Source organism: Homo sapiens, chromosome 5, assembly GCF_000001405.40.
Source record: "Homo sapiens chromosome 5, GRCh38.p14 Primary Assembly".
In the NCBI taxonomy this organism is placed as follows: domain Eukaryota; kingdom Metazoa; phylum Chordata; class Mammalia; order Primates; family Hominidae; genus Homo; species Homo sapiens.
Genome location: NC_000005.10, coordinates 150,473,692 through 150,487,614, shown reverse-complemented (window position 1 = coordinate 150,487,614; position 13,923 = coordinate 150,473,692). Strand labels below are relative to the sequence as shown.

Sequence of the window (13,923 nt, the reverse complement as noted above, 5' to 3'; positions counted from 1 at the left end):
AATGGGGAAGAGGACAGATGTCCCCATAATTTCAATTGAAAATGAAACTGTACAGGGCCAAAGTTGTAAAAAAAAAAAAAAAAAAAAAAGGAGAAATAAACTGTGAGCTGTCACAGCAAGACACTCTAGAGATCTGTGGCTGAGACACAGGCTGAGAGAGGGAGGTAAAATCCAAGCTCCACCACTTTCTATCTGTGTGACCTTTACAACCCTGCGCCTCAGTTTGCCCCTCCGTAAAATGTGGTTAATAGTAATGCGGGAGAATTAAATGAGAGAATGTATGTAAAGCAATGAATTAGTCCAGCGCCCTAACACACAGTAAACGTGAAATGTACTTGTTGAATATAAGCATGACACCATTTACTGAAATACCACACACTCCTCTCATCCTCATTCTAGCAAATACCATTCTCCCCATTTTACAGGTGAAGAAACTGAGGCTAGGGGAAGGTAAGGAACCCACTCAAGGTCACACCGCTGGAAACTGACAAACAGCCAGGTCGCTCTGAAGAGACCTGGGGGCAAAACTGCCCGCAGGCCATTCTGAAAGCTCTCCTGGGTGGGGAGGGCAACAATGGGCGTTCAGGGGGTGGGGCTCTGTATTCCCTTAGCCTCGCAGGGCACACCGGGCTGCTCGAATCTGCAAAAAGCCAAGTGGCCAGTCCCCAGATTCCCGGCCGGTCCTAGAGCCCACCCGTCCCACCGGCGCCCCCTCCTCACCCCTGTCCCAGGGCGTTAAAGAGCTGCGTGCAAAGGGAGAACTTCTTGCTCCCGAGACCCTGAGGGAGGAGGGGAGTTAGACAGCAGGCCGCTCAGAGCCCGCAGAAAACCGGTCCGGCTGCCTCAGCCTTCGCGAAGCCAGGACCCGGCCTCTAACCCCCTCCCTCGCTAGACAAAAGTTTCCCCTGTTCGGGAGCAGGGGAGGGGGAGGGGGCATTCCTCGTGAGTGACATTATCCGTGACCTACAGCTGCCGCGCTGCCCTCGCCCGCACCCCAGCCTGCCCCCGGCCCCGCGCGGCCCCCTACCCTTTGTCCTCCCACCCCCGCGCGCGGGGCCCGGCCGACTCCACCCGCCCGCCCGGCGCCCGCCCGCACCAAACTTGCGCCGGCGGCCGCTGGGGGCCCCGCGCGGCCTGCACGCCGGGCTCGGGCCCCACCGGCTGGGCGACAGGGGACTGGCAGGCCCGGGCCCTCTCGGCCTCTTACCTGCCACGGCTGGGGCGCCACTCGGGGGAAGGGGCGCTCCCGGCGAGGAGCGGGACGCCTGGGTCCCCCGGGCCGTGCGTGCGCCTCCGGGCTCCGGCCCGGGCCAGGGTTAACCCCTTCGCGGCCGCCTCCCGCCGCTCCCACCCCCGCTCCACGCCGCCGCCGCCGCCTCCTCCCGCCCGCTCTCCTCCCCCTCCCGCTCCCTCCCGGTGCCCAGCCCCCAGTCCCGGCCCGGCGCTGCGCCGGGGCAGCTCGCAGCCTCCCCCTCGTCCCGCAGCGGGGAGGGGTCTCCCTGGAGACTGAAGGTTGGGGCGCGCTGCCTCGCCCCCTAGCCCAGAGGGGCGTACCCGTGCGCCGAGAGCCCCCAAGCCCGTCTCCCCTTACCTCCTCGGCCCAGCGCCTACCTCCCCGAATCGCGGCCGCTGGGAGCGGGGTTCGATCCCGTGATGCCGCGTGGGTGCCGGCCAGAGAAGAGCTCCGGAGGCCGGGGCGGCCGGCGGGCGTGCGGTGAGCGCCCCGGGGCGGGGGCCGGGGCGGGACCGAGCGCTGCTATCGGGGCTGGATTTCTCGACTTCCACCCGGATTCTCCCTCGGCCCTCCCGGCCGATTCGGTGCTGCTCGGCGACCACGTGACGCGGGCTGCCTTTGACCCCTATCTCCGAGCGGGTAGGGGGCGGGGGCCGGAGGGGGTGTCAGATGCAGGACCCACGAGGGCCGGGGCGGCTGCCCGGCGTCCCCGAGGCGGTGACCCCCGGGAAACAAAGCCCGGGGGGAAACCAACAAGTTATTCGGGGTCAGAGACGAAACAGCGCTGGGGGTCGGGAGAGGCGGCAGAGAGAATGTGGGAGACAAAGACCCGCGCCCGCGGCGGCTCCGAGGGCCCTGGGAACGCTCTGGCTGGGCTCGAGAGGGCCTCCAGGCTCTTCCACCCCTGGGCTTGTGACAGCTCTCCAGGACCTCCTGGGACAGCTCCCCGACCACCAGTGCTCTGCCAGAATGACCCCTCCTGGGCAGACCCTCCCTCCCCCAACACACACCTTTGCCCTGACTCTCGAAAACCCCTTTATCGTGATTATGTGGTTCATTTACTGGTTTCATTGTTTACTAGAATGTCATCTTTCCCAACAAGTTGTTCCCAGCAGAATCCTCTCTCCTGGCACAAAACAAGCAGATGAAGAGGTAAATGACCTTGTGCAAATCTCTTCTCCCGCTGAGCCTGCCCCCCAACCCCTGTTATTCTAGCTATCCCAAGGACTCTGCAAATTAGGCAGGATGACAGTGGTTGTTCCCGTTAAACAGATGGGAACAATGAGGCTCAGAGAGATGAGATGATTTGGCAGGTTAATGAGAGCCTAGGCTGGCACTCGGATCGGCCTGCTCCCAGTGGAGGGCTTTCTGCCACCCATGAGCCAGCCTGTAAAATGAGCAGGGTGGGGTTGGATGAGTGAATCCCTTAAGGAGCTTGTAAGGATGCAGATCACCCGGCCCTGGAGATCCTGAGTCTGGGAAACAGTGGATTGGTGGATTCCTAAGGACCTTTAGAGGCTCAAGATTATCCAACTGGGCCGGGCGCGGTGGCTCACGCCTGTAATCCCAACACTTTGGGAGGCTGAGGCGGGCGGATCACGAGGTCAGGAGTTCAAGACCAGCCTGGCCAACATGGTGAAACCTCCTCTCTACTGAAAATACAAAAATTAGCTGGGGGTGGTGGCGCATGTCTGTAATCCCAGCTACTCAGGAGACTGAGGCAGGAGAAAATCGCTTGAACCCGGGAGGTGGAGGTTGCAGTGAGCCGAGATCGTGCCACTGCACCCCAGCCTGGGTGACAGAGCAAGACTCCGTATCAAAAAAAAAAAAAAAAAAAAAATTTAGAGTATCCAATTGTAGGAACAAAGCTCAAAAAGTATACAAGGCCGGGTGTGGTGGCTCATGCCTATGACCCCAACACTTTGGGAGGTTCAGGCGGGCGGATCACTTGAGGTCAGGAGTTGGAGACCAGCCTGGCTAACATGGTGAAACCCATCTCTACTAAAAATACAAAAAAAAAAAAAAAAAAATTAGCGGGGCATGGTGGCAGGTGCCTGTAATCCCAGCTACTCAGGAGGCTGAAGCAAGAGAATCACTTGAACCAAGGAGGTGGAGGTTGCAGTGAGCCATGCCACTGCACTCCATCCTGGGTGACAGAGCAAGACTCTGTCTCAAAGAAAAAAAAAAAAAGGCTGGGAGTGGTGGCTCATGCCTATAATCCCAGCACTTTGGGAGGCCAAGGTGGTGGATCACAAGGTCAGGAGTTCAAGACTAGCCTGGCCAACATGGTGAAACCCTGTCTCTACTAAAAATACAAACATTAGCCGGGTGTGGTGGTTCGTACCTGTAATCCCAGCCACTCGGGAGCCTGAGGCAGGAGAATCACTTGAACCTGAGAGGCAGAGTTTGCAGTGGGCCGAGATCACGCCATTGCACTCCAGCCTGGGCAATAGATTGAGACTGTGTCTCAAAAAAAAAAAAAGGCCAGACATGCTGGCTCACGCCTGTAATCCCAGCACTCTGGGAGGCCGAGACGGCTGGATCACGAAGTCAGGAGATCAAGACCATCCTGTCTAACACAGTGAAACCCTGTCTCTACTAAAAATACAAAAAATTAGCCAGGCGTGGTGGCGGGTGCCTATAGTCCCAGCTACTTCGGAGGCTGAGGCAGGAGAATGGCATGAACCCGGGAGGCAGAGCTTGCAGAGAGCCTGGGTGACAGAGCAAGACTCCGACTCAAAAAAAAAAAAAAAAAAAACAGAGTGGGTGGGGTTAGATGAGTGAATCCCTTAAGAGGCTTGCTAAGGATGCAGATCGCCAGGCCCCTGGAGTCCCTGAATCTGCCGGTCTGGGGGTAAGGCTGGGGCAAATTTGGAAAACAGTGGATTGGTGGAATCCTAAGGACCTTCAGAGGCTCAAGATTATCTAACTGTAGGAACAAAGCTCAAAAAATATACAAGCCACCAGAGCAAAGCAAAGGAGGACAGAGAAGCCAAGTCAGATGCGTAAGAGTGGGACAGACTCCTGTTTCCTCCAAAAGCCAACCTCCTTGTGTTGAGGAAAGGGGCTTTCTGTCAGCCTACTCATATCACAGAGGGGGAAAGAAGCGGAGGCCTTAACAAAGTGAGATGCTGGGAGACGGGACCAAGCTTCTGACTTCCATATGTGACCATGTGACATCTTTGGACTGGGTATAGTCAGATAGGACTGGACCTGATGGTGATGGCCACAAGCCCAAACTGCAGGCCACATACAGAGATAGGCTTGTGACTTCCTAGAACATGGTCCTGTCACTGTACCAGTTTGGTGAGGGTAACCAGCATAGACCAGCAAATTCTCCTTGGTGATCTGTGTTCCTGTGCTCAGCAGTCTAAAATCCTTGAAGATGGTCTGGGTCTTTGTCATGCTAATTTCTGCCTTAGAGGGTCCCTTCCAGCTGCATGAGGCCCTGTGAGCATCTTTTCTGTGCCAGGCACTGTGCTCCTGGTAAGGCAGATGCAGAGTTGAAAGAGACGGGAGCTTGCACTCCCAAGAAGTGTCCATATTTGTTTGGAGATGACCTGCATGTCCCTCCTTATGTCCAGAGGCTGGTGGAGCTGAGTGCCTGCTGGTGAGATATAGTATAATGCTGTGGGCTGTGGCTTAAGGAAGAGAGGGGAGCCTTGTTTTTTTTTTTTTGAGACGGAGTCTCACTCTGTCACCCAGGTTGGAGTGCAATGGTGAGATCTCAGCTCGCTGTAACCTCCACCTCCTGGGTTCAAGCGATTCTCCTGCCTCAGCCTCCAGAGTAACTGGGATTACAGGTGCCTGTCACCACGCCCGGCTAATTTTTGTATTTTTATTAGAGATGGGGTTTCACCATGTTGGTCAGGCTGGTCTTGAACTCCTGACCTCAAGTGATCCACCCACCTCAGCCTCCCAAAGTGCTGGGATTACAGGCATGAGCCACTGTGCCCGGCCAGAGGGGAGCATATGAGGGAGATTTTACGGGAGGCAGCTTCTGAGCAGGGTCAGAAAGAATGGATGGGATCAGGGTGGGGAGATGGACATTCCCAGCACAAGGAACAACTCGTGCAAAGACCACGTGGAAGGCTCAGGAAAAGCAGAGTGTTGCATGGGGGAAGGGGATGGAGGAAGCAGGGAGGAAAAAATGAGCAAGAAAACTGGAGAGCTGGTCAGGAGCAGATGATGAGTGACCTTGTATGTGATAAGGTCCACGGACTAGACCTTATCCTGAGGGCCTGGCCGAATGAGCAGACAGGTGAAAGAGGTGATAAGAGTAACCTGTGGGAATGTGGAGGGGAAGGGAAGGGCCAGAAGCCAACAGGCCAGTCAGGTCAGGGAGCTGAGCTCGCTGGCTCACTAGGGGAGTGGCAGATCCATAGCATTTGGAGGCAGCCTGTGAGTTGGGGCGACTCCATGTCTCTGGCAGCCCTTGCTCATCTTCTCAGGTCTTCCGAGTTGCTCTTCACTGAGCTGGGCCCAAATCCTTCCAACTCATTGTCACCCGGAGAACCTATAAGGAGGCGAGGCCCGGGCCCACCCAGGGAGGTGGCTGCCGTGGGTCCAGGTGAAGCATGGGACCTACATTTCTAACCACGCCCTGGGAGGTTCTGAGGAAGACTGCTCTTAAGAGCCTGGCTCCTCCCTCTCCACAGGACCATCTTTGTGCTGAGGGGCCCCCCTGCCTAGACTCCATCCTCAACCCCAGGTGGCTCCCACTACCCACTTCACACCCTCGATGGCTGTCCCAAAGTCAGCTCCAACCCAACAAGTCAAAGGCTGAACTCACCAACCTGCTTCTTCTCTTCCTCCTGTGTGTCCAATTCACATGTTCAGTCCTAAAACCTGATGCTCCACTCGTCCCTACATCCCATCCATGAGCCAGTCCCATAGGTCCTATGTCCAGTTTTTTTCTCTAACCCAACCCCACTTTTCTTTCTTTTTTTTTTTTTTCTTTTTGAGATGAAGTCTTGCTCTGTTGCCCAGGCTGGAGTGCAGAGCCGCGATCTTGGTTCACTGCAACCTCCACCTCCCGAGTTCAAGCAATTCTCTGCTTCAGCCTCCCGAGTAGCTGGGACTACAGGCACCTGCCACCATGCCCGGCTAATTTTTTTGTATCTTTAGTAGAGATGGGGTTTCACCATCTTAGCCAGGCTGGTCTTGAACTCCTTATCTTGTGATCCATCCGCCTCGGCCTCCCAAAGTGCTGGGATTACAGGTGTGAGTCACTGCACCTGGCCCTCTTCTTTATCACGACCACCCTAGTCCAAGCTGCACAGGTCTCTGCCGTGACCATGTTTACAGCCTCCTCACTGTGTCTCTCCCTCTCTCTGACTCTATTGCAACCTCATCATGACCATTTCCTAATTAAAACCACCAGAATGGCCCATAGTTCCCAGGATAAATTATTTGCCTTGTCTGCCTTATTGGCTCCACCGCCCTCCGCAGTATACTCCACCTTCCCCTTTACCTAATTTCCCATTTAGAGTAGGGATGCCATAATATGCCATGAAATTAGAGTTTAAAATAAAAAAATAAATAAAATAAAGTATGGACTCAAGCCAGGCTTCCTGGGTTTGAATCCTGACTCTGCCACATATAAACTATGTGACTTTGGGCCAGTTTTTCAAACTTTCTGTGGTCAGCCCTCCTCTCTAAAGTGTAGATAATAATAGTACAACATACCTCCCAGGGCTGTTGTGAGAATTACATAAGTTAAATATGTAAAGCCCTTAGTGTGTTATCTGTTATAGGACAAGCACTGTACAGTTACAGTTGTCCCTCAGTATCCATGGGGGAATGATTCCAGGACATTTCATGGATATCAAAATGTGTGGATATCCCTGATATAAAATGGCTTAATATTTGCATATAACCTATGTACATCCTCCCATATACTTTAAATCATCTCTAGATTACTTGTAATACCTAATACAATGTAAATTGTATGCAAAGAATTGCTATATTTTTTAGAGAATAATGACCCAAAAAAAGTCTGCACATGTTCAATACAGACAATTTTTTAAAATATGTTTTCGATCCATGGTCGGTCGAATCCACAGATTCAGAATCTGTGGGTATAGAGGGTTGACTGTTTAAATGTTAGATGAATGATTCATTGTGATCCTTTAGGTCTGAGATTTTTTTTTTTCTTTTTTTCTTTTTTCTTTTTTTCCTGCAGGCTGGAGTGCAGTGGTGTGATCACGGCTCCCTGCAGCCTTGACCTTCCAGGCTCAAGCAATCCTCCCACCTCAGCCTCCCAAGTAGCTCGGACTTCAGGCATATGCCACCAAGCCCAGCTAATTTTTAATTTTTTATAGAGACAGAGTTTCACCATGTTGCCCAGGCTGGTCTTGAACTCCTGAGCTCAAGCAATCTGCCTGTCTCTGCCTGCCTCGGCCTCCTAAAGTGCTGGGATTACCAGCCTTTTTTTTTTTTTTTTTTTTTTTTAAATGTGTCAGGCTCTCGCTGTGTCATCTGGGCTGAAGTACGGTGAGCAAGATCACAGCTTGCTGCAGCCTCAAACTCTTGCACTCAAGCAATCCTCCCATCTCAGCATCTCTAGTATCTGGGACCACAGGTACATGCCACCATCCCCAGCTATAAGTCTCCAATTAAACTTAATTTCCTCCTGGGCTTTTCCTCAGACCCTAATCCAAACCAGGCTTCCTGTATACACTTCACATCTCCCTCTTTATCACCCTCGTAGTTACCTGTCAGCTGCCACTCTCTCCCTCTAGATTGTGAGCTCCATGTGGGCAGGACTGTGTGTGTCTCAGACGCCCTGAGCCCCAGTGCCCCAAACAGCACCAGGCACATTGTAGGCAACCAGCACATACTTGCTGAATAAACAGATGAAATGAAAGTTCACAGGTTCATTATGAAACAGAGGACACTGTCTACCTAACAAAATGCCCATCAATGGTACTTCACTCTTCATTCAACAATTATTAGTGCCTCTTCTATAGTCTTCCTCACACCATCCTGGTGGCAGAAGGGAAATAGGGAGACACAGAGATGAATAAGATAGATGTGGTTCCTGTCCTCAAAGACTATACGGTCCACTGTGAGAAAGTGCCGTAATGCATAGGAAGATACAACGCAGTGTAACCACGTTGTTTTAGTCTGTAACAATTTTGTTTCCTAGGAGGCTGGGGCTGGTCTTTGGAACAATGAAAGTGAAAAGTAACTGAAAACAAACACTGTTGCCTACTTCAGCCAGCACCACCAGTTCCCAGCAAGCTACTTTTCTGTCTCTCTCCCTCCCTCCCTCCCTTCTTCCTTTCTTTCTTTTTTTAACAGGGTCTTGTTCTGTGGCCAAGGTTGGAGTGCAGTGGTGTGATCATGGCCCACTGCAGCCTGGACCTCCCAGGCTCAAGCAATCCTCCCACATCAGCCACCTGAGTAGCTGGAATTACAGGCACGTGCCACCTAATTTAAAAAGAAAAATTTTGCAGAGGCTGGGCACAGTGGCTGAGCTGAGGCAGGAGGATCACTTGAGCCCAGGAGTTCAAGACCAGCCTGGGTAACATAGGGAGATCCCGTCTCTACATACATACATACTCTAGGCATAGTGTTGTGCGCCTGTGGTCCCAGGTACTTGAGAGGCTGAGGTAGGAGGATCACTTGAGCCTGGAAGATCGAGGCTGCAGTGAGCCATGATGACATCACTGCACTCTAGCCTGGGTAACAGGGTGAGACCTTGTCTCTTAAAAAAAAAAGAATTGCCGGGTGCAGTGTCTAATGCCTATAATCCCAGAACTTTGGGAGGCCAAGGCGGGCGGATCACCTGAGGTCAGGAGTTCAAGACCAGCCTGGCCAACATGGTGAAACCTGGTCTCTACTAAAAATACAAAAATTAGCCAGGCATGGTGACGCACGTATGTAATCCCAGCTACTCGGGAGGCTGAGGCAAGAGAATCGCTTGAACCTGGGAGGCAGAGGTTGCGGTGAGCCGAGATTGCGCCACTGCACTCCAGCCTGGGTGACAGAGCAAGACTCCATCCGTTTCAAAAAAAAAAAAAAAAGTCCAGGCGCGGTGGCTCACGCCTGTAATCCCAGCTCTTTGGGAGGCCGAGGCGGGTGAATCACGAGGTCAGGAGTTCGAGACCAGCCTGGCCAACATGGTGAAACCCCATCTCTATTAAAAATACAAAAAAAAAAATTAGCCGGGCATGGTGGCGGGTGCCTGTAATCCCAGCTACTTGGGAGGCTGACGCAGGAGAATCGCTTGAACCTGGGAGGCGGAGGTTGCAGTGAGCTGAATTCACGCCACTGCACTCCAGCCTGGGCAACAAGAGCGAAACTCTGTCTCAAAAAAAAAAAAAAAAATTGTAGATACAGGGTCTCCCTATGTTGCCCAGGCTGGTCTTGAGCTCCCCAGCTCAAGTGATCCTCCCACCTTGGCCTCCCAAAGTGCTGAGATTATAGGCGTGAGCCACCACACCCGGCCAGTGCTGTCTTTAGAGCAGGAAGAGTAAGTCCTGTCCCAAGGGCATCCAGGCCACCACCTTTTTCTCTGCCTGGAAACCTATTTAGCCTTCAAGGTCCCACTTAAGTAGCGCTTGGTCCAGGAAACCTTCTTGCTCCTGCTAGAGGTCTGTATGGGCCCCAGTCACAGCTCTAGTGATTTTCTGGGAATATAGCAGGATTTGTCAAGGACAATCCAAATTTCATGTCATTTGCTTCTTTAAAAAAAAGAAAAGGTGATTCAATGAATGTGTAACTACATGTGATTTCATGTTTGGACTTCAGTGGAGGCAGAAAATAGCCTCTGTCAGACCACGTGACCTGATTTGTGGTTTGGAGAACATGGTCACCATAATTACAGCATTGACCACATGCTGTAACAGTTTCCTCTCTCTTTCCCTCCGCCCCCCACTGCGCCCTCCCTCCCCCAACACACACACACACACACACACACACACACACACACACACACACTGAACTTTTCAAGTGCTAGGACTGTTTTCCTCCTGGCAGACCTTGATATCTGTTAAACAAACAGCAGAGAAAATCTGTAAAATGGGAAGGCTATCCCTGCTTCAGCCATACAATGGATATAAAATGTAGAAACCGAAGACTGATATAGGGGATGTGGGTAATTCACAGCAATTAATTACTGACTCTGATGCATGCCACCTGCTTTCTTGTATCTGTTACTTCAGCAGCCCAGAGAGGTACAGCAACTTCCCCCAGGTCACACAGACAGGGGTGGCAGAAGACGTTTGGAATCCGGGTCCATCCAACTAAAAGATGCAATTATTGTCACCACTCACACTACCTCCCAGTACCTAGGGGCCATAAGCCCCCAAATTCACCAAGACCACCTGGGCTCTGTGCCTCCTTCCCTCACTTCCACGGGATTCCCTCGTGCCCTTTCCTTCTACACACCACTTTCATCAGTGCCACTGCTGTTTGAAGAGCACTTCCAGTGGGTTCCCAAAGAAGTCCTGTCTTGGGGTCCAGGTTTCCTGTTTCAGGCAGAGCCTAAAGATGCATGTTGTGCCTTCCCAGACCTTCATCCCTCACTCCTGTGTGCTGCTAGCACAATCCATTTCACATGTAGTACTTTCCTCCTGGTTTTGGTTTTGTTTTGTTTTGTTTTTTGTGACGGAGTTTCGCTCGTGTTGCCCAGGCTGGAGTGTAGTGGCGCGATCTCAGCTCACTGCAACCTCTGTCTCCCAGGTTCAAGCAATTATCCTGCCTCAGCCTCCTGAGTAGCTGGGATTATAGGCACCCACCACCACGCCCAACTAATTTTGTTTGTTTGTTTGTTTTTTGTTGTTTGTTTGGTAGAGATGGGGGTTTCACCATGTTGGCCAGGCTGGTCTCAAACTCCTGACCTCAGGTGATCTGCCACCCTTGACCTCCCAAAGTGCTGGGATTACAGGCGTGAGCCACAGCACCTGGCCAGAAAGTACTTTCTAAAAACCAGGAAGAAGCCAGGCAAGGTGGCTCACGCCTGTAATCCCAGCACTTTGGGAGGCCGAGGCAGGTGGATCATGAGGTCAGGAGTTCAAGATCAGCCTGACCAATATGGGGAAACCCCGTCTCTACTAAAAATACAAAAATTAACTGGGCATGGTGGCATGCGCCTGTAGTCCCAGCTACTTGGGAGGCTGAGGCAGGAGAATTGCTTGAACCCGGAAGGCGGAGGTTGCAGTGAGCCAAGATTGCGCCACTGCACTCCAGCCTGGGCGACAGAGTGAGACCCCATCTCAAAAAAAAAAAAAAAAGAAAGAAAGAAAGAGAGAGAGAGGAAGGAAGGAAGGAGGAAGGAAGGAAGGAAGGGAGGGAGGGAGGGAGGGAGGGAGGGAAGGAGACCATCCTGGCTAACCTCATGAAACCCTGTCTCTACTAAAAATACAAAAAATTAGCTGGGCGTGGTGGCGGGTGCCTGTAGTCCCAGCTGCTGGGGAGGCTGAGACAGGAGAATGGCGTGAGCCCAGGAGGCAGAGCTTGCAGTGAGCTGAGATCACGTCACTGCACTCCAGCCTGGGCAACAGAGCGAGACTCCGTCCCCCCACCGCCCCCCCGCCAAAAAAAAAAAAACAGAAAGAAAGAAAGAACAAATGAACTTTCTCATTCTGTACACCAATTCCTTGGTGCCCCACAGCAGCCCTGAGAGGTAGACACAGCGGAGATTTTTTTCACCCGCATTGTACAGAAGAGAAAATGAAGCTTTGCCCAACCTGCAGGAGATCCCCTCACCTTGCAAAAGAGCCAAGCTGTGGGATCTTCAGTCCCTGGACCATTTAGCTTGACTAAGAGAACAGGAATGGAGGCCAAAAGATCTACAAAATGCTCACACAGAGAAGATGACAGCTTCTACAAATAAATGTCAATCAGTTCATTTCCCCTTTTACTGTGTTCATTGTAATGCACCAATTACAACCTGACAAAAGTAAAACACTGCCAAGCACAAGTGGTCTTTAGATGACCCTTATCATCTAGAGGCTCAAAGTCCCTTGAGGATAAGGCCTGGTCCAGGGCCCAGGGCTGAGTCCAGGCCTGGCGAGCAGAGTGCTAGGCTCAGGTGCCGTCAGGGCGGTAGGTGTGAAGGGCCGTCCAGGGATTGTTCCTTCCCATCCTCTCAGCTGCTGGTCAGAGGGGCTCTGCCCTGGACTTGCCCTCACCACAGGCCATTTCTCATCCACTCCTCCACCATCTGACCTCCTCATTCTGCGATTCTGATTCTCTTCATTTTAGAACTAACACTTTTGACATCATTCAAACCAAAACATTAGATTAACCCCCAGAAGAGGGGAGAGGTTCAAACGGACACTGAAAGGTTAAGTGGCTGACTCAGGATCCCAGTGTCTGCACAGCAGAATCCAAAAATGCTCCCAATGAGTGAAGCAGGAAGGGGTGGTTGAAGTTGCCTGGCCTGGAGGTTGTCTGCAGTTCTCCATGCCCATCACTCCATACACACACACAAGACCACTTTGTTTCTCTGTGTTATTCTCCTGTCCCTGAACACATCCAATTCTCCTTATAGAAATGAAGAAACTGCCGGGCACGGTGGCTCAAGCCTGTAATCCCAGGACTTTGGGAGGCCGAGGCGGGCGGATCACAGGGTCAGGAGATCGAGACCATCCTGGCTAACATGGTGAAACCCCGTCTCTATTAAAAATACAAAAAATTAGCCTGGCGTGGTGGCGGGCACCTGTAGTCCCAGCTACTCAGGAGGCTGAGGCAGGAGAATGGCATGAACCCGGGAGGCGGAGCTTGCAGTGAGCCAAGATTGCGCCACTGCACTCCAGCCTGGGTGACAGAGCGAGACTCTGTCTGAAAAAAAGAAAGAAAGAAAGAAAGAAAGAAATGGAGAAACTGAGGCCCAGGGAGTCAGAGGGGCCTGCCTAGACCAGCGGTGGCCAGCAGGTGAGCTGGGACTAGACCTGGAAGAATGTCTATTAGCATTCCCCTCTGCCTATCCTGTGTATCTTGGAAGCCGGTAAGGACTCCCAGAGTTGAGCCCAGATGCCATTCCTAGGTGCTTATAGACATACCAGCAGGGGGTGAGGGAGCAGTGCTGACCTGTGGGAAGTCAGCTCTGGGACCGGTGTGGTGGCCAGCCCTTGTCTGGGGCTCTCTGCTCCAACAGGCATGGACATTCTTATCATTCCAAGGCCCTTTCTTCACTCCAACCTGTCTGGGCTGTGTCTGGGGTGAGATGGAGCTGGGGCTGCGGGTGGGAAGAGCGAGGGGAATGGCAGGGATAAGCCCCATAGCCCACAAAGCATGCGGTCACACTCACTTATGCTCAGACTCTGCATGCCCCATACAAATCCCACCTCCCTTCTTCTGCAACTCGCCCTCCATCCAGTGCTTGGGCTCTGACATCAGACTGTCTTGTGTTAGAATCAAGGGTCAGCCCTCAATTACTGTCATTTAACTTGGTTTCAATTGTTTATTTGCAGGAGGATAATAGTATTTACCTTATAAGGTTGTTGAGAGGATTAAATGAAATACTAGGAAATTGCTTAGCACTATGCCTGGCATAGTTTTTTGTTTGTTTGTTTGTTTGTTTGTTTTTGAGATGAGTTTCGTTCTTGTTGCCCAGGCTGGAGTGCAATGGCACAATCTCGGCTCATTGCAACCTCCGCCTCCCGGGTTCAAGCGATTCTCCTGCCTCAGCCTCCTGAGTAGCTGGGATTACAGGCGCATACCACCATGCCCGGCTA

General features: G+C 52.3%; 1 long non-coding RNA gene across 1 annotated transcript, besides 5 other annotated features; it reads left to right on the top strand.

Moving 5' to 3' along the window:
* Positions 1,070-1,859: a silencer, noted in NCBI's record as "silent region_16511". NCBI's record gives its function as "represses an Ori minimal core promoter by ATAC-STARR-seq in GM12878 lymphoblastoid cells {active_cell/tissue: GM12878}" and the evidence as "EXISTENCE:reporter gene assay evidence [ECO:0000049][PMID:35858748]".
* Positions 1,070-2,047: a biological region, named in NCBI's record as "H3K27ac hESC enhancer GRCh37_chr5:149865131-149865786".
* Positions 1,392-2,047: an enhancer, noted in NCBI's record as "H3K27ac hESC enhancer chr5:149865131-149865786 (GRCh37/hg19 assembly coordinates)". NCBI's record gives its function as "activates a minimal SCP1, AML or CMV promoter by ChIP-STARR-seq in naive H9 embryonic stem cells {active_cell/tissue: H9 hESC(naive)}" and the evidence as "EXISTENCE:reporter gene assay evidence [ECO:0000049][PMID:30033119]".
* Positions 1,623-12,099, top strand: NDST1-AS1 (NDST1 antisense RNA 1). The gene is made up of 3 exons (NR_105061.1): positions 1,623-1,714; positions 2,316-2,386; positions 11,856-12,099. It is a non-coding gene; the product is annotated as an NDST1 antisense RNA 1 (long non-coding RNA).
* Positions 10,626-10,795: an enhancer, noted in NCBI's record as "experimental_82371 CRE fragment used in MPRA reporter constructs". NCBI's record gives its function as "activates a minimal promoter by MPRAs in K562 erythroleukemia cells, with activity observed for the introgressed 5:149856468 or rs76684277 variant allele {active_cell/tissue: K562}" and the evidence as "EXISTENCE:reporter gene assay evidence [ECO:0000049][PMID:34662402]".
* Position 10,710: a transcriptional cis regulatory region, noted in NCBI's record as "Neanderthal adaptively introgressed variant 5:149856468 (GRCh37/hg19 assembly coordinates) or rs76684277 in the experimental_82371 CRE". NCBI's record gives its function as "modulates activity of the experimental_82371 enhancer by MPRAs in K562 erythroleukemia cells {active_cell/tissue: K562}" and the evidence as "EXISTENCE:reporter gene assay evidence [ECO:0000049][PMID:34662402]".
* Positions 12,100-13,923: the final 1,824 nt, after the last annotated feature.